This window comes from Homo sapiens, chromosome 3 (assembly GCF_000001405.40).
Source record: "Homo sapiens chromosome 3, GRCh38.p14 Primary Assembly".
In the NCBI taxonomy this organism is placed as follows: domain Eukaryota; kingdom Metazoa; phylum Chordata; class Mammalia; order Primates; family Hominidae; genus Homo; species Homo sapiens.
Window position 1 is genome coordinate 150,942,216 of NC_000003.12, and position 20,290 is coordinate 150,962,505.

Below are 20,290 nucleotides of genomic sequence, written 5' to 3' on the forward strand. Positions count from 1 at the left end.
TTTCTAGTCTACACCAAGATTAAAGAATGGAGATATTTTCAGTCAACTTCAATATTTTAATGTAGCACAAAGCTGTGGGAAAATAATTTCTGGTACTACGGGAAATATTTCAATGTAGAAAACACGCCAAATCTATTTCTAGATTTTGTGTTCAGGGCAAGTTTTTCTTGTTTGCAGAGAAAGCGAAACCCTACATTTTAGGGCTTCTTTCATCTGGTGAGGCATCAGCATGCTTGGCATCAGCAAATCTGGCAGGACCAATCTGGGGAAGTTTAATTCTGTTCATTTTAGTTCCCCAAACATGTATCAAGTGCTTAAGTTATTCACTGAGCACCTACTATGTGCCAGGCATTATTCTAGGTGTTGGAAGTAGAGCCATAAAACAAGATGGACAAGATTCCTGTTGTCTCACAGAGCTTATAACCTAATGGGAGAAGACAGACCATTAGAAAGCAAACAAACAAATAAACGTGATAGCTTATCTCCAAAAATGGCCACAATCAATGCTTTTCCCCCTTTTACGCATGTGTCACTTCTCATTTAAGTGACACTTCTCATTTTTCTCCAATGCCTTTGAACTTGGATTGGCCTTCGATTGCTTTGACCTCCTGAATATGGCAGCAGAAGTACATTGTGCCAGTTCCAGGCCTGTTTGATAAGAGAACCAGCAGTCTCTGCTTTTTTTTCTTTTGGAAGCTTGAGTTGCCAAGAAGTCCAGGCTACTCTTCTGGAGAGAAAGGCTGCCTGGAGGAGCACTGAGGCACCAGACACACAAGGGAAGAAGCTGTCCTGGATGTCAAGCCCAGAAAAGATGACTCCAACCCAGTTGCTATGTAACTGCAACAGTTAGGAGAGACCCTATCAAGAACTGTCCGGGTGAATTAGTAAATTTTTGTTTTAAGCCCCTGAACTTTATAGGAGAGCTGTTATCCAGCGGTATCAATGACAGAAGTGTAGAAATTTTAGGCAGACGGGGCAGGTCCCTGGAAAAACCTCACTTTTGAGCTGAAAAGCCTGAAACCTGCAGCCCAAAGTGAGAACTTCCATCCCTGTGTGCCCGCTCTTTCCCAATTGGTTCTTTATGAATAATGTCTTTTTACCAATAGAATGTTGCCTTTTCCAAAATTATGTATGGCCTGCCCCACCACCTATCCTCTGCCTATAAATACCCCAGACTCAGCCAGTAGAGAGGAGAAGTGGCTGGACATCAGAGAGAGGAAACTTGACTTCAGAGATGGTGGCTGGACATTGGAGAGATGTGACTTGACTTCAGGGGAGAGTGACCTGCCCTTCCCATTCCCTTTTCAGCTTCTCTCTCTGCTGAGAGCCACTTTCATTGCTAATTCTCTGCATTCACCATCCTTCAGTTCATCTGTGTGACCCCATTCTTCTTGGGCACCAAACAAGAATTCAGGATGCACAAATTGTGGGTACCCAAAAAGACTGTCACCCTGGCCCTTTGCCCTCACAGGCAGAGGGCAGCCACCCTACATGATGAAGCAAAGGGCCCACTGAGCTGACAACACACTGCTGTCCACAGATGGCAGAGCTACGAGAGCATTGTAACACACCCTCTGGGGCCCTGGGGTTGCAGGCACCCCTACCTGGTTGCTGCTGCAGGGCCTGCATGGAGTTTACTCCTCACAGCACTAAAGCAGCCAGCTGGTTCCTGCACTCGTTCACTCGTGTGCTCCCTCCTGCAAGAGGTTGAGCAGGGCAGGCTGAGTAAATGGGGTACCCCTGTTGGGAGTCCCATGAAGGGGTCAAGAAAATAGCCTGCATCAACAACAAGATAGTTTCAGATAGTGATACATATGATGGAGAAATAAAATAGGGTAATGGGATTTTGAGTGATCTCTGAGTGGATGGGCATGGTCAGGAAAGTGAAACGAGCTGACACCTGAATGTTGAGAAGGAAATCACCCTTTAAAGATCTACAGAAAGAACTTTCCAGGGAAAAGAAGCACAACTGAGGCAGGAATGAGCCAGTGCAGTGGAGCCTGGTGAATGGTGGGGAGGCAGAAGTGGGATTATTGTGCTGGGAACAGATTGTTGTACCCACTGGATCCTGGCCTGGTGACCATGGCGAGGAGTTGGCTTTTTATTCTAAATTTATTAGGAAGCCACTAGAGAATTTTAAGTAGGAGAGGAACACAGTCTCCTTCATAATATTAAAAGATCATTCTGAATGCTGAATAGTGATCACAAGGGGGTGGGGAAGAACAAATGTCCAGAGATCTAAGGGAGGCTATTTTCAGAGGGGAGAGATGGGGGCTGGCCTACGGTGGGAGAGGTTGTCAGATTTGGGATACATTTTGGAGATGGAAGATAGGACTTGTTTAAAAAAAAAAAAAAGAATCCAGGCCGGGTGCGGTGGCTCACGCCTGTAATCCCAGCACTTTGGGAGGCCGAGGCGAGTGGATCACGAGGTCAGAAGACTGAGGCAGGAGAATTGCTTGAACCCAGGAGGCAGAGGTTGCAGTGAGCCAAGGTCCCACCACTGCACTCCAGCCTGGGCAACAGAGTGAGAATCCGTCTCAAAAAAAAAAAAAGAAGAGTCAAGGATTACTTCAAATTTTTTGTCCTGAGCAACTGAATAAATGGTGATGCTGTTAACTGAGATAGACTAGTAGAAGAGACAGGCTTGGGCCCCAGGATGGGAAGTGATGCAAGAGTTCTGTCTTAGATATTTTACGTTTGAGTTACCTTAAAACCTCCAAGTAGAAATGTCAAATAGGATTTATGTTTCTGGAGGTCCAGGGAGAAGACTGGGGTGTTAAAGAGGACTGGGGCTAGGGTAAGGCAAACAAGGTGCCTAGGGTGGAAAAGGTAAGGTGGTAGTCACCCTCCAGGGCCAGTCCTGCACTTGCATGGGCCTGATAAAGAATGTTTCCTTAAACTTTATGTGCTAAGTGCCTCAATGACCTCTCCCTAGTCCTAGCCCTAGTATTTAAACCCATTGGAACAGACATCCCAAGGAGATGAACCCAGGGAGAAGCTGTAGTTCAAGAGAGAAGCCCTGGGGCTCCCCCATGTCTACAAGCACAGAAGAGGAGAAAACCCAACCAAGAAGACTGGGAAAAGAGTGATTTGTGAATTAGGAGCAGACCCATGAGTGAGACAGCAGGGAAGCAAATGGAAAAAAATGTTTCAAGGAGGAGTAAGTAGTCATCTGTACAAATGCATGCCTCATGGCCACAACACTCTACTCCTGACCACATGCTGGAAGGGGGCCAGGAGAGAAAGTTTCATTGGGTCAGAACAAGCCCTTTGCCACCGCTGGATGTAATTAACTAACTACATATGTACATACATGAAATAAGCTTAGTGCTATCCAATAGGGAGCATCCTCTTCGTAAATACAGAGGTGTTTGGATCCTGATGGTGTTTACCAGTGTCCTCACTCAGGAGTCATGGCCAGGTCATTTGACTGCTGATGTTTAGTTGTACTACATTTCCTTTATCTTCTCACAATCAGAAAAATGCACATTAAAACTTTGAGATACCATTTTCAATACATCATGTTTACAAAGATGAAAGCATTTAGCAATATCCTGTGTTAGCTAGGGTATGGGGAAATGGGGACCCTTGTGCATTTTTCTTGGGAGTGTAAATTGTTATAACCTCCTTTGAGGCAGCTGGGCAATCTATAAAGCATTAAAATGCACATACCCTTTAGCTCAGCAATTTAACTTTCAGGATTTTATCCTATGAATATTTTTGCACATGAATCCACTAAAGTATTACAAGGATATTCATTGCAGCATTTCTTGATAATAAGAGGTTGGAAATAACGTACATGTTTAGCAGTAGCATATTCATACAATGGAATATTAGTCAATGATTACAAAGAATGAAGCAAATCTATAACAACATGTATGGAATTATTCATCAAAATGTGATGTGAGGTGAAAAAACAAGCCAAATAAATGAAGACATATGTGCACCACTCTGCTATTTGGGAAAAAAGCCAAAAGGGAATGTGAATAATAATAAATATTAATAGTTATTTAAGCACTTATCTGATTTAATTCTCTCAACAGCCCTATGAGGTAGGTACCATTATTAAAAACTGAGGCACAGAGGCATGTACCATGACCAAGATTTATACTTAGTGAGTGGCATAATAGGAATTTGAATTCATGTTCTCACTCTTAACCACCTTGTTACAGCCACCTTAGGGACTGGCATGTGTGTCTAGGCAGAGACTATTTGTACAAAAGTGGTAACATTGCTTCTGGGAAGGGAGACTAAGGAACAGCTCACTATGTACCTTTTTGTACTAAATTTTTTTTTTTTTACTTTTCTGCAAGCATTGTCTATTCAATGAATACAAAAATACTTTTTTTTTAATAATTGGAAGGATAAACGAAGACATAAAAATTCCAAAGACTGTAATAGATTAAAAGAAATTTAAGAGACATATTAATAAAATGTAATGTATGGCTATTGTTTCTGAATCTGGTTTGTGATTTGAACAGACCATTTCTTTTTTTTTTTTTTTTCTTTTTTCACTTTTTATTTTTTTATTTTTATTTTTTATTATTATACTTTAAGTTTTAGGGTACATGTGCACATTGTGCAGGTTAGTTACATACATATACATGTGCCATGCTGGTGCGCTGCACCCACTAACTTGTCATCTAGCATTAGGTATATCTCCCAATGCTATCCCTCCCCCCTCCCCCCACCCCACAACAGTCCCCACAGTGTGAGGTTCGCCTTCCTCTGTCCATGTGATCTCATTTGAACAGACCATTTCTAAGAAGACGATTTTGAGATAGCGAGGGAAAATTGGACATGGACTGAGTATTAGATGATATTTTATCATTGTTATAGATTTTATTGGTTATGTTAATGGTGTTGTGGTTGCGCTTTTAAAAGTCCTTATTGGTTAAAAATGATACGGATGAATGGATGGCTGGATGGCTGGATGGATAGATAAAGATAAAATATGTAAGGACACCCATAGGTCCAAAATAAAGGGATGGAGGAAAATCTACCAAGCAAACAGAAAACAGAAAAAAGCAGGGGTTGCAATCCTAATTTCAGACAAAGAAGACTTCAAACCAACAAAGAAAAAAAAAGACAAAGAAGGGCGTTACATAATGGTAAAGGGTTCAATTCAACAAGAAGATCTAACTATCCTAAATATATATGCATCCAACACAGAAGCACCCAGATTCATAAAGCAAGTTCTTAGAGACCTATAAAGAGACATAGACTCCCACACAATAGTAGTAGGAGACTTCAGTGCTTTACTGACAGTATTAGATCATGGAGGCAGGAAATTAGCAAAGATATTCAGGATCTGAACTCAACATTGGACCAAATGGATCTAATAGACCTCTACAGAACTCTGTACCCAAAACCAACAGAATATACATTCTTCTCATCACCACATGGCACATACTCTAAAATCAACCACATAATTGGACATAAAACAATCCTCAGCAAATGCAAAAGAACCAAAGTCATATCAAACACCCTCAGACCACGGTACAATAAAAATAGAAGTCAAGACTAAGAAAATCGCTCAAAACCATGCAATTACATGGAAATTAAACAACATGTTCCTGAATGACTTTGGATAAATAATTAAATTAAGACAGAAATCAAGAAGTTTTTTCAAACTAATGAGAACAAAGATACAACATACCAGACTCTCTGGGACACAGCTAAGGCAGTGTTAAGAGTTAAATTTATAGCACTAAATGTCCACATCAAAAAGTTAGATCTCAAACTAACAAACTAACATCAGAACTGAAAGAATTAGAGAAGCAAGAACAAGTCAACCCCAAAGCTAGCACAAGACAAGAAATAACCAAAATCAGAGCTGAACTGAAGGATTGATACATGAAAAACCATTCAAAAGATCAAGAAATCCAGGAGCTGGTTTTTTGAAAAAATTAATAAGATAGATAGGCCACTAGCTAGCCTAATAAAGAAGAGAAGAGAGAGGATTCAAATAAACACAATTAGAAATGGGCCGGGCGCGGTGGCTCACGCCTGTAATCCCAGCACTTTGGGAGGCCGAGGCGGGCGGATCACGAGGTCAGGAGATCGAGACCATCCTGGCTAACACGGTGAAACCCCGTCTCTACTAAAAATACAAAAAATTAGCCGGACGTGGTAGCGGGCGCCTGTAGTCCCAGCTACTCGGGAGGCTGAGGCAGGAGAATGGCGTGAACCCGGGAGGCGGAGCTTGCAGTGAGCCGAGATCGCGCCACTGCACTCCAGCCTGGGCGACAGAGCGAGACTCCGTCTCAAAAAAAAAAAAAAAAAAAAAAAAAAGAAATGATGAAGAGAATGTTACCACTGATCCCACGGAAATAAAAACAACCATCAGAAACTACTATGAACACCCATATGCACACAAACTAGAAAACCTAGAAGAGCTAAATAAATTCCTGGATACATACACCTTCCCAAGACTGGACCAGGAAAAAACCGACTCCACTTCTAAAATCATTATCGGTCTATTTAGGGAATCAGTAATAAATACCCTACCAACTAAAAAATCCCAGGACCTGATGGCTTCACAGCCAAACTCTACCAGATGTATAAAGAAGAGCTGGTACCATTCCTACAGAACCTATTCCAAAAAAATTGAGGAGGAGGAACTCCTCCCCAACTCATTCTAGGAGGCCAGCATCATTCTGATACCAAAACCTGACAGAGACACAACAAAAAAAGAAACTTCAGGCCGATATCCGTGATGAACATCAATGCAAAAATCCTCAACAAAATACTTGCAAACTGAATCCAGTAGTATATCAAAAAGCTAAACCACCACAATCAAGTAGGCTTCATCCCTGGGATGCAAGGTTGGTCCAACATAAGGAAATCAACAAATGTGATTCATCACATAAACAGAACTAAAGACAAAAGCCACATGACTATCTCAACAGAGGCAGAAAAGACTTTTAATAAAATTAAACACTGCTTCATGTTAAAAACTGTCAATAAACTAGGTATTAAAGGAACACACCTCAAAATAATAATAGCCATATATGACAAACCACCACAAACATCGTACTGAATGGGCAAAAGGTGGAAGCATTCTCCCTGAAAACTGGCACAAGACAAGAATGCCCTCTCTCACCACGCCTATTCAACATGGTACTGGAAGTCCTGGCCAGGGAAATCAGGCAAGAGAAAGAAATAAAGGGCATCCAAGTAGGAAGAGAGGAAGTCAAACTAAATCTGTTTGCAGAGAACATGATTCTATATCTAAAAAACCCCCTAGTCTCAGCCCAAAAGCTCCTTCAGCTGATAAATAACTTCAGCAAAGTCTCAGGATACAAAAAATCACTAGCATTCCTATACACCAACAATACCAAGCTGAGGGCCAAATCAGAAAAGCAATCCCATTCACAATTACTACAGAAAGAATACAATACCTAGGAATACAGCTAAGCAAGGAGGTGAATAATCTCTACAATATGAGTTACAAAACACTGCTTGAAGAAATCAGAGAAGACACAAACAAATGGAAAAACATCCCATGCTCATGGATAGGAAGAATCAATATCATTACATGTTATTCCTATCAAATTACCAACGACATTCTTCACATAACTAGAAAAAAAACTATTTTAAACTTCATATGGTACCAAAAAGAGCCCAAATGGCCAAGGTAATTCTAAGCAAAAAGAATAAAGCTGGAGGCATCATGTTACCCAACTTTGAAATATGCTATAGGGCTACAGTAACCAAAACAGAATGGTACTGGTACAAAAACAGGCACATAGACCAAATGAACAGGATAGAGAGCCCCAAAATAAGGCCACACACCTACAACCATCTGATCTTCAACAAACCTGGGAAAAACAAGCAACGGAGGAGATACTCCTTACTCAATAAATAATGCTGGGATAACTGGCTAGCCATATGCAGAATATTGAAACTGGACCCCTTCCTTACACCAAACACAAAAATCAACTCAAGATGGATTAAAGATTTAAATGTAAAACCCAAAACTATAAAAACCCTAGAAGACAACCTAGGCAATATCATTCTGGACATAGGACCTGGCAAAGATTTCATGACAAAGACACCAAAAGCAATTGCAACAAAAGCAAAAATTGACAAATGGGATCTAATTAAACTTAGGAGCTTCTGCATGGTAAAAGAAACAATCAAAAGAGTAAGCAGACAACCTACAGAATGGGAGAAAATATTTGCAAGCTATACATCTGACAAAGGTCTAATACCCAGCATCTATGAGGAACTTAAATTTACAAGAGAAAAACAACCCCATTAAAAAGTGGGCAAAGGACATGAGCAGACACTTTTCAAAAGAAGATGTACCTGCAGCCAACGAACATGAAAAAAAGCTCAACATCACTGATCATTAGAGAAATGCAAATCAAAACAACAATGAAATACCATCACACTAATTAGAATGGTTTTTATTAAAAAGTCAAAAGATAACAGAGGCTGGCAAGGTTGCAGAGAAAAGGGAACACTTATACACTGTTAGTGGGAGTGTAAATTAGTTCAACCACTGTGGAAAGCAGTATGGTGATTCTGCAAAGAGCTAAAAGCAGAACGACCATTTGACCCAGCAATCCCATTACTACCAGAAGAATAGAAATCATTCTACTATAAAGACACAAGCACACGAATGTTCGTTGCAGCACTATTCACAATTCTGAAGACACAGAATCAACCTAAATGCCCATCAATGACAGACTGGATAAAGAAAATGTGGTACATATACACCATGGAATACTATGCAGCAATAAAAATGAATGAGATCATGTCTTTTGCAGGAAGATAGATGGAGTTGGAGGCTATCATCCTTAGCAAACTAACACAGGGACAGAAAACCAAATACTGCATGTTCTCACTTATACGTGGGAGCTACATGATGAGAACTTACGAACACAAAGAAGGAAACAACAGACACTGGGATCTTCTTGAGGATGGAGGGTGGGAGGAGGGGGAGGAGCAGGAAAGAATCTGTACAACAAATCCTCATGACAGGAGTTTACCTATGTAACAGACTTTTACAGGTACCCCCAAACGTAAAAGTTTTTTAAAAATAAAATAAAATTCTTCAGCTATATTAGTCCATTCTCTCATAGTCTCAGGTAAAGAAATACCTGAGTCTGGGTAATATATATATATTTTTTGAGACAGGGTCTCACTCCATTGCCCAGGCTGGAGTACAGTGGCTCCATTTTGGCTCTCTGCAACCTCTGACTCCCAGGTTCAAGCGATTCTCCTGCCTCAGCCTCCCAAGTAGCTGGGATTACAGGCACCCGCCACCATGCCTGGCTAATTTTTATATTTTCAGTAGAGATGGGGTTTCACCATGTTGGCCAGGCTGGTCTCGAACTCCTGACCTCAAATCATCTTCCTGCCTGAGCCTCCCAAAGTGCTGAGATTACAGGTGTCAGTCACCGCGCCCGGCCTGAGACTGGGTAATTTAAAAAGAGATGAGGTTTAATTGGCTCACAGTTCTCCAGGCTGTACGTGGCAGCATTAGCTTCTAGGGAGACCTCTGGGAATTTAACAATCATGGTGGAAGGCAAAGCGGGAGCCAACACTTCACATGGCCAGAGTAGGAGAAAGAGAGAGAGGGGAGGTGCCACACACTTTTAAACAACCAGATCGCATGAGAACTCACTCACTATACAGTACCAAGGGGGGACCGTGCTAAACCATTCATAAGAACTCTGCCCCCATGACCCAATCACCTCCCACCAGGCCCCACCTCCAACACTGGGGATTACGATTCGACATGAGATTTGGGCAGGGACGACATCCAAACTATATCATCAGCTCTGTTTGGAAGACTGTGGTAGTGTCAATGTGGATGTTAAAGGTCGCAGATGCTGACCTCCTGTTGTCAGGACTTGCAGTTGTCCACTATGCCCCATCTTCCGGCAGCATAGCAGTCTTACACTTCCGGCAGTGTAGCTCGTCTTATAGGATGGATCCCAACCTACGATGGTTCGATTTTTCAACATCATGATGGTCTGAAAGTTATAAGCATTCGGTAGAAACCGCACTTTGAGTTTTGAATTTTGGTCTTTTCCCAGGCTAGTAATAAGCGATAAGAAACTCTCAATGCTGGGTAGAGGCACTAAGCGCAGCTCCCAGTCAGTCACAGCATCACAAGGGCCAGCAACCGATACTCTACAGTGTCCTGTGTTGCCAGGTGATTTGGCTCAGCTGTAGGCAATGTGCGTCCTGAGCACATTTAACGTAGGCTGAGCTAAGCTATGATGTTCGGTAGATTCGGTGTATTAAAAGCATTTTCAATTTAACGATATTTCAACTTATGACGGGTTTATCGGGAAGTAACATCATCATAAGTCGAGTCACATCTATACTACAATAACCTGCCTTCTGGAGCCTCCCTTACACTCAGTCAGCTATTGACTTGGTTTTTACTAGCAGTTATTAAACAAACAAACAAACAAACCCTGATTCCATTCATCTCCCCACCTGTTAAAAAGATGGCTACTTCATCATCTCTGATAGGGTGGCTAGGTTTAGCCTGTCCTAAAATTGAGGGTTGTTACCAAATTGAAACAAAGGCAGAAAGAAGTTGCACTGATTTGCCTCCTGGAAAAGCCAGAAGGTAAAATAAATTGTCATGTGGAGCAGTTTAATTCTTATGAAATCTCTGAAATTCTCACTGTTGTGAGAACATGACCCAGCAGGACACTAATCCCTGCTTGCTATATTTACACTTTATCAGGTTTCTTCTTCTTCTTCTTCTTTTAATCAAAAATCCCCAAGTCTGTAATGACCAGCCAGAACTCTCGTAACACCCTTCTGTTTTCTGACCAACACTAATTTGACTTTTCCTTGGTTGAAGCTGAGAGCAGACCATTCAAATAAATACTGAGAGTTGTCACTTTAATGATGTTGGGAGGTAGATTTGCTTGGTCTCTCTGTTCTTTTAGATTTAGGATTACAACACAGAAAAAGGATTTGAACATTTTGATCTGTGGAGGAGTTGTCATTGATCCAGCAAGTCACTTCTGGTCTCCAGAAAGTATTTGATTAGCTATTGACAAGTGAAAGGGAGTTATTTATTACAACACACAGCCGATGCCACGTTAGTAACATAACTTTGTCTGTGCGTTCAGAATTACCCTCCCTTTCTTTCATTCTCTTATCTTTGATTTCTTCACTCTGAGTCAATGTGTCTCGGTCTCCTCATACTTAAACCATCCCAGACCCCTAATTGCCCTTTTCTCTCCATTATCACCAAACTTCTTCAAACAGCAATAATGCAAGTAATAACAATAAGAAAAAAAAGCCAATAATTATAAAACATTTGCTATGTTTCAAGTACTTATTTTTTCTTCGAGATGGAGTCTAGCTCTGTCACCCAGGCAGTGGGTGGAGCCCACTGCAGCCTCCACCTCTGGAGTTCAAGTGATCCTCCCACCTCAGCCACTCAAGTAGCTGGGATTACAAGCACGCACCACCAAGCCCAGCTAATTTTTGTATTTTTAGTAGAGACAGGGTTTCACCATGTTGACCAGGCTAGTCTTGAACTCCTGTCCTCAAGTGATCTGCCCACCTCGGCCTCCCACAGTGCTGGGATTACAGGTGTGAGTCACCACACCCGGCCAAGTACTTTATATATATAAAACATAAATTAGCACATTTAATTCTAACAGTATGAGGAAGGTATTATTTTATCCTTAATGTATAGATTTCAAAAGACCAAGGCACAGAGAAGTGAAGTAACTTGCCCAAAGTCGCACAGTGGCATTGATTTTATTTTTTCCTTCCTATTTTTAAGATTAAAGTAAAATTAGCAGAGCATAAAAATATACCTTTTTAGTGTACAGTTCTGTGAGTTTTGACAAATGCAGACAGTTGTGTAACCACCACAATAATCAAGATATAGAACAATTTCACCCTTCTAAAAACTTTCCCCACCCCTACCAGGAAGTTTTGCCCCTTTACAGTCAATCCATCCTCTACCCCCAGGTCCTATGTGTAACTATAAGAAGCTGCGGAGTGTTTTCCAAAGTGGCTGTACCATTCACCTTCCCACTAGCAATGTAAGAGAGTCCTACTTGTTCCACATTCTGGCTGGCACTTGACAGGTTTTTAAAGTGGTAGCCATTTAATAGATATGTAGTTTATCTCAGTGTTGTTTTAATTTGCATTTCCCAAGTGTCTAATGATGTTGAGAATTTTTTTGTGGGCTTATTTGCCTTTCATAGGTCATTTTCGATGATGTGTTTGTATCTTTTGTGCATTTCTTATTGGATTGTTTATTATTGAGTTTTGAAAAGTCTTTATGCATGCTGGATACAAACCCTTTATCAGATAAGAAATTCACAAATATTTTCTCTGTCTGTGGCTTGTATTTTCATTCTCTTATCAGTGTCTTTTGAAGAGTAGTTCTTATTTTTATGAACTCCAATTTATCAAGATTTTTTATGTATCATGTTTCAAATGTCAAATCTAAGAAGTCTTTGCCTAATGCAAGGTCACAAATATTTTCTGCTATGTTTCTCTCCTTGAAGTTTTTAGTTCTAGGTTTACATTTACACCTGTGATCTCTTTCAGGTTATTTTTTGTGTATGGTACAAGTTTGAGTCAAGGTTAATTTTGTATTTTTGCATATAGATATCCAATTGTTTCAGAACTTAGAAAACTGAACATAGACTTAACATATAACCCAGCAATCCCATTGCTCAGTATTTACCTAAGAGAATTGAAAACATGTGTCCACACAAAAATCTGTATGCAAATGTTTACTTTATTCATATTTGCCAAAAACTGGAAACAACTTAGTATCCATTGACAGGTGAACAGATAAACAAGTTGTGGCCCATCCATGTGATGAAATACTAGTCAGCAATAAAAAAGATGCTGCTACTCACAATAACTCGGATAGATCTTAAATAACTGTGCTAACTGGAAGAAGTCAGACTCGAGAGGCTGCATGCTGCATGATTCCTTATATACAACATCCTGGAAAAAGCAAAATGATAAGGACAGAAAACAGATCAGTGGTTGCCAAGGGGTTGGGGGTAGGAGAGGAGATGGACCAAAAAAGGGACAGGGAGAACCCGGGAGTGATGGGTGTGTTCTATATCTTTGTTGTGGTAGTCATTATAAGCCAATATGCATTAGTCAAAATGCATAGACCTCTAAATCTAAGAAGGATGAATTTTACTGTACGTAAATTATGCCTCAATAAACCCGACTGAAAACAAATCAAAGCTGGGTGGAAAGAAGTTTGGAAAGAATTCAGGGCAATGGAGATAAAATAGTAGTAGCAAGAGGGGGTGATAGGACCCAGTGTGTTTTTGTTTTGTTTTACTTTGTTTTTAGAAGTTGAAAGAGGCAGGTTGGCAATTGAAATGGAATTTCAAATCTCCTCATTAAAAAAAATTATTCCAACACACTTGGGGGATTGTCAACATGTTACATGGAAACTGACTCCTGTTTAATAGCAGATGTAAAGTTCCAGATTTGGAAAAAGAATTCGTTGCACACCTGAACATGACAAAGCTCTTTTTTGTTTTGTTTTAAGCAGAGAAAGGGGATTGAAGGAAGATGAATTTTCTTCCTACTCTGTTTCTGTTAGTTTGTCCCAAAGCCCAACTGTCTATGGGGGACCTTTTTTTATGAACAATTTTATAACTATGAAATTAAAATTAAAATTGGAATTTCACCCATACGCCTACCAATATAAAAAGCAAAATTTTTCTTTATTTTTGTTCCTTTGAAATCTTTGTTCATCTCACTATTTCCTATATTACTATTATCCCAATGCAGTTTTGAAATCACCTTCTGTTCTTTTCACTCAGAATATAATGTGTTATACATATTGTCTTCATAACTATCATTTAGATAACTGCATAAGTTTTTTGCCAAACGGATGCCCTGCAATCTGTTAGTTCGTCTTCTATTGGTTCAGTATTACAGCTCATGCTTCCAGGAACATCTCTAAGCACACACATTTTTCTTTTTTATTTTGGAGATGGGGGATAAGTGGGAATAACCTTTTTGGGTGAATTCCCAGGAAAGGGATTACTTCGGTAATGGTGCTTTCTAAAAGAATGCTAGTTGTGGTATAGATACAAGGTAACCTCAAGAACGTGAGTGGCATTTTGTAATATATATATTAAGCTCTACTTTTTCAACCCTGATTCAAAGCTTGATTCCCTCTCCATGAAGTCTGGTAAGCAGAAATTTCTGACAAGATACCTAGTCAGAAAAAGAGAGCTAGAAGAAACTAGTCACTGGGTTCTCTATCCTGGTAGCAGAACAGAAGGCACCTAAGCCACAGGAGAGAGAAAGCGAAAAAGGAAATCCACGCTGCATACCTTGGCATGCAGAGAGAGGCTGTCATACCCTCATTACTCGAGTCTGCTATTACGAAACAGAGCTGAGTAAGTCGTAAGTTAATGACTCGGAGTGAAAACAGTGATAGGGATGCTCTCATAGGAAAGCTGCCCTCCTGCAGTCATTTGGTGAGGGGCTCTATATTTTGGGCTGTGAGCCTTGCCTCCCTGCCCTTACTCTCCTGCACAAATGGGGACCCCTTAGCCTCTGATCTGTGGGCCCACATTCTGCAAAGCCTTTTCTAGTTTTTTCCTCTCTGTCCCTTGTCAGATATTCCAAACTTCCCCTATTCTTAAGGACCTATCACACTCCACCTCCACTTCTTTCAGTCTATGAACCTGGCTTATGAAGTGCTCAGAAATATCTTGTAAACTAAACTCTCTCATTTCACAGAGAAAGGTGAGGCTATCATGGAATGCCCTCAACTTGACAGAACTCCATTGCCACCCATCTACACCTTCTTTGTGGTGTATACCCAACCTTCCCTTTATTCTTAGTGAAAGAAATGTTTTCTCCTGTCCAAGGCTGGCCCTTCTCCCTGTGCTTTCAGACTCATCCTTTCTCATCTTTGCACAGACCTTTCTAATTCACTATTTACCCTCCCATCTGTCTTCAGCCTTTTCCTCTCTACTGCTCTATCTTCTTAGTACAGAATTATACTCAAGGTCTTCCCATTTTATACACACACACACACACACACACACACACACACACCACCCCACCCGAAGCCTGGCCTTAGGGATCCTGTGGCTATTTCCTGATCTCAGTCTTTCCCTTTTATACCTGCAACACTTATCTCTGGGTCATGATCTCCCAGTCCCTCCTTAGCTCCTTCAGGGACCTCCCTTCCCCACCACTTCATCAAGACTGCTTTGGAAATGGTCTCCTGTGATGTTCTGGCTGTAATATTCAAAGAACCATTTCCAGTGTCTCTCATTTGACATCTCTGTGGCATTTAGGCCTGTTGACTGTTACTTCCTTGGTGAAGGTCTATCCTCTAAGGTTTCACCTCACTGACTCTCCCCTCGATCTCCTTGACAAGTCTCCCCTCTCTACCCATTCATATTAGTGTTTTCTAGGACACATCTTTGTCTACTTTCTTTTTTAGGGGGTCGGTGGGGACGGAGTCTCGCTCTGTCGCCCAGGCTGGAGTGCAATGGCACGATCTTGGCTCACTGCAACCTCTGCCTCCCGGGTTCAAGCAATTCTCCTGCCTCAGCCTCCTGAGGCTGGGATTACAAGTGTGTGCCACCACGCCCGGCTAATTTTTGTGTTTTTTTAGTAGAGACGGGGTTTCACCATGTTGGCCAGGCTGGTCTTGAACTCCTGATCTTGTTTGTGATCTACCCACTGCAGCCTCCCAAAGTGCTGGGATTACAGGTATGAGCCACTGCACTCAGCCTTTGTCTACCTTCCTGTTCAACTCCCCTCCCTGGGAAATCTCATCTTCAGTTATGGTTCCAACTACTGCCGCTAATCTGCTGATTCCCACTTCTCTGCCTCTACCTCAGGCCTCTCTCAAAACCTACAAATTGGTGTAACTGATGGACATCTCTGGTTGATGTTCCACAAGTGATCAAATTAAACATGATTAAAAATAATTTCATATTCCCTCTCAACTTTTTCCTTCTGTATTCCTTATCTCAGAGAATGTAACAACTGTCCATTCAGTAGAAACCTGGGTTCATCTTCTGTCATCAAGTTCTCTTGGTTTCTGTTTTGAATATTTTGGAAATATTTCCCTTCCTTTCTATTTCTCTGCCAGTGCTTTGGTTTGGATCCCCAAATATTGGAGGAGCCTTATGACTGGTCCCCACTTCTCTTTTGATTTTCTTCCAATCCATCTTCTGTCCTGTCACATAGCTGCTTGCCTTCCTTAAAAGGCTTCATGTTGCCTACAAGATAGACTTAACTGCCTGACAGTGAACACAGTCTGTCCTGTTCTGGTTCCTGCCTTCCTCTCCAGTCTTACCTTTTCCCTCCTCCACACTCTCACGCATCGTCTGTACTAGGACCACAATAAGTTCTTCATGCATTTGCTTATGCTGTTCATTTACTTGGAATGTTTCTTCAATGCCATCTAGTGAAATCTAGCTCATCTTTAAGAACTTCCCTCTGATTTTCCTATGCCTATTCCTCACATAGAGTACCTCTCCTTCTTGGAGTTTTTATAACAAATAAAATAATTGTGATAATAATGAGTGCTACTCATCCATCTATAGCTCGTGGTAGGATTTGCTCATCTTGACCTCTCTGAAGTTAGATGTGGCTGTGTAACAAGCCTTGGCCAATAAAATATAAGTGGAGGTGGCATGTGTCAGTTCCAGGTCAGCGAATTTAATTGCCAGTGTGACAGCCTCCACAACTCTTTCTCTGTTACGGTAACTGTCAACATTCCAGATGGTGGCAGTATCCTGGAATGAAGCTCCAGCCAATCTCCAAAAAATATGAACTGTGAGCAAGAAACACATCTTTTTTGTTTCAAACCTATAAAGTTCAAACTTACTTGTTATTAAAACATGACCCAGCCCATCCTGAATGATATGCTAGCATAGCTCTCCCAAGTGGCTGGTCATTTCAAAACACTTCTGCTAGATTCTGGGTTGTTGAACAAGTATCCTCTAACTCTCTTCACATTCTCAGAGTCTACCAGAAGGCTTAGGCACATCATGGGCACTCAATAATCTTTTTAGGGGAGGGAAGGGTGGGAGCATTGAAGGCACATAAACTCTTTAACTTACAAATAATTTGTCTCACATGTCAAGTAATGTTATTTTCAATAGGTTACAGCCGGGCTTGGTGGCTCACGCTTGTAATCTCAGCACTTTGGGAGGCTGAGGCGGGTGGATCACCTGAGGCCAGGAGTTCAAGACCAGCCTGGCCAACATGGTGAAACCCCGTCTCTACTAAAAATACAAAAATTAGCCAGGTGCAGTGATGGGCCCCTATAGTCCCAGCTACTCAGGAGGCTGGGGCAGGAGAATCTCTTCAGCCCAAGAGGCAGAAGTTGCAGTGAGCCGAGATCACATCACTACCCTCCAGCCTGGACGACACAGCGAGACTTTGTCTCAAAAAAAAAAAAAAAAAAGGTTACTGGAGGGTAATAAGAATAAGGTAAAAAGTGTTTTTACTAACTGCTAAGTATGTTCCTTTATTGTCTGCCATTAATCTGTGTTTTATTTGATATTTCTAAATGTATGGCTTTCATTTCAGTTGTCTTACCATTCATTTTACTTCTATCTGCTGGGGTTTTCTATTATATTTTATTCTGAAACTTTGTTAACCTTTTATCTATTGCTGATTCCAGTCTAACAGTCATATCTCTTATCCTACAAATCTTAAAAATCCTAGTAAATTCAACCTAAGTCTGTACGTAATGGCATTAACCAGGAGTCTCAGGCAGTTGGAATACAGTGTGCCATCAAAGCACAATGGGTAGAGGGGCCAATGGGGAGACAAACAGCCAGGCATTAACTGAGCGGCAGCATGGCGGGTTGGGCAGGATGTGGCTTTTGGAGTTAGGAAAGTTTAAAATTCATCTGGTTTTGCCATTTACTATGCATGTTGGTCTCGATATCTCAGTTTCCTTAACTATCAGCATAGATGATAATAGAAATAAATCACAGAGCTCACAAGAAACATAAGTGAGATCATTTATGTGGAAGATTGTTGTAAATTTTAAGTAATTGTCTAAATATTTTTAACATCATGAGAAGAGCAGAAGGGTTATATTTCCCCCGAAAAGAGTGGGGAATGTAAGAACTCAATGTAGTGAGGTCCCAGGAGGAATCACTGAGGGTGGGTAAGAGGGATTTGGCCCATGGGTGGTCAGAGTACATGTCTCTGCATTGGGACCAAGGAATCCTCCATAGTAGTCCTTGAAGTACGTGGAATTCAGGCAAACTTTCTATCTTGCAGCTCAGTCTTTTACTTTTTTTTTCCTGACCAGGTGGATGACTATTGCTATAACTAATGCAGGAACTTTGGATTTATGGTTAATTACTTATTTGAAACCAGTCACATACTTTCCTTACTATCTGATATATTGCTCTCATTCTTACTTCTATTTCCCTTGTGCAATTTCTTGGACATCCTCTGTAATGGCTGGTCTAAAATGATCTTTGGACTGATAACACACCTCTAAGGAGAACCCCTGAGAGTCTCTTTGGAAGGAGCAGAGCCCTTCCACAGGAGACAGGCAGATGGAGGTCAAAAGTTAACTTTATTTCTGATAAAACTGTTAGAGAACATAGCTTAGATCTTCCATCAAGTTCCCCAAATTAGGCAGCTTCACCCACGCAGTCACAGACAGGGCCAGACAGCTGAAGGCCTCCCTGCCAAGGACAGAGCCGACTTCTTTAACCCAACCAGTTGGTGAGCAGGCTCCTGTAACTGGTGGGCAGATTTGGAAACAGGGGAAGCCACTGGGGCTGAGAGCCAAGTGTGCTCAGTTTCTTACTGAAAATTCATCAATCAGATTGCTCATTGCCCTGAGGCCAGGTGGCTGTGGACAAAGCATAAGACCTTCATGAAAATGGAAGCGAAAGATCCCAGCCTAATTTTGATCAGAAAACCCCCCAACTGTGTGGAAGAAATGCTAAATACTGCTCCTTCCCCCTCCCCTCCTCCTTGTGGCTTCTGCCTTCCCTAACAGTAAGGGCTTCTAACTCTTGGCCTCACCTGTCTTGGCCACCATCCACCTCAGTCATTCTCAGCCTTGGCTGCACATTAGAGTCCCTGAGGAACTTTTAAAGCATTCCAATGCTCAGGTCCCACCCCCAGAGATCCTGATTCAATTGGTCTGGGATGGAGCCTCAGGATCAGTAGTTTTAAGGACTCCCCAGATGATTCTAAAGTGCAGCCAGAGTTATGGACCACTGATCTAATAGTTTTGGTTTCATCAACCTTTTTGCCTTCATCTGGCCAGATGTAAAATGCAGAAAAGGCCATCTGTGAAGCTCTCAGAACTAAGGCAGCCTCTGATAATGATGTCAGCAATGGTGCCGCAATTTCTTCCTAGATTAAAGCTATAAAGACAGTTTCAGAGGTCCTGTTTTTCGTCTCAACCTGTCCTTCTCTACATAAAAGGATGTGTTTTTTAAAAAAGTATTTGGCCTCTTGGTGCTCAGCTATTCATTTTCTTGAAAGAGAATAAGAGGGAAGATTTCTTTCTTCTTACAGAAATGCTCTTGATCTGACTTTCCCCTCAGCCCATCTGCAGCCAGTCATTATGAAAATCCAGTAAAAGACATTCTCTGACATCAGCTCAATGCATTCATCTCCTTTAATATCACCCATAATCTCACACTCAGGTATTGAGCCAAGCTTCCAAAGGCTATGTGGTCAGGTTGAATGAAATCCATGACCCCAGCACTTAAAAGGAGACCTGATGGTATGATAAAACCATTCAAAATCTGATTTTCTCAGCCCCTTACCTGAATTTCTCTCAGCTGAAGTGTATCCACCTCACTCAAGCCTATTCAGAGGTAGTCCCATCAGTGAGTCTTAATCACCCACGGTGGCTTAGGGATGACAGCGGCTGTGGCACATATGTGTCTCTGATAACAGGACCCATTTAACTGCTCCTAATCCACAGGGGTATGATTATGTTGGGGTAATAACTCCTGAGAATGGCTTTGCCACAGTTACAGCATGCTGAGAGGGAGCGAAATATGAACCCTGCATAAATTAGACTACCAGGTACAAAGTTTGCTATTAGTTAGTGCTATCATACCTCTAATAAGAGTGTATCTCGCCATAGACAATTGCATTTAGCTGCATGATGAGATGACAGGCAAATTTTTCAGTCTAATGTATATGAGTTTTGTTTTTTTAAAAATACACCTATAACTTTATGAAAACCCTAATATATTTGAGAGATAAAAATGGACGTTTGTTTTTATTTTTTTTCAAACAAGATTTTAATTGATGCTACAATTCTATCCCC

At 41.2% G+C, this 20,290-nt stretch overlaps 1 protein-coding gene across 5 annotated transcripts in view; it reads right to left on the minus strand.

Moving 5' to 3' along the window:
• Positions 1 to 20,290, minus strand: part of CLRN1 (clarin 1) — a 46,837-nt gene that overhangs the window by 16,053 nt on the left and 10,494 nt on the right. Inside the window, exon 2 of one of the 5 annotated variants that reach the window (NR_046380.3) lies at positions 3,314 to 3,464. The exons of 2 other annotated variants lie outside the window; for them this stretch is intronic. Coding sequence is in view for 2 of the 3 variants with exons in the window: in NM_001256819.2 (NP_001243748.1) it covers positions 1,605 to 1,776 (172 nt within the window). In the remaining variant the exon portion in view is untranslated. Of the gene's footprint in view, positions 1 to 1,604; positions 2,022 to 3,313; positions 3,465 to 20,290 lie in introns of those variants that run through there. 2 more of the 5 variants (NM_052995.2, NM_001256819.2) reach the window with 2 other exon arrangements.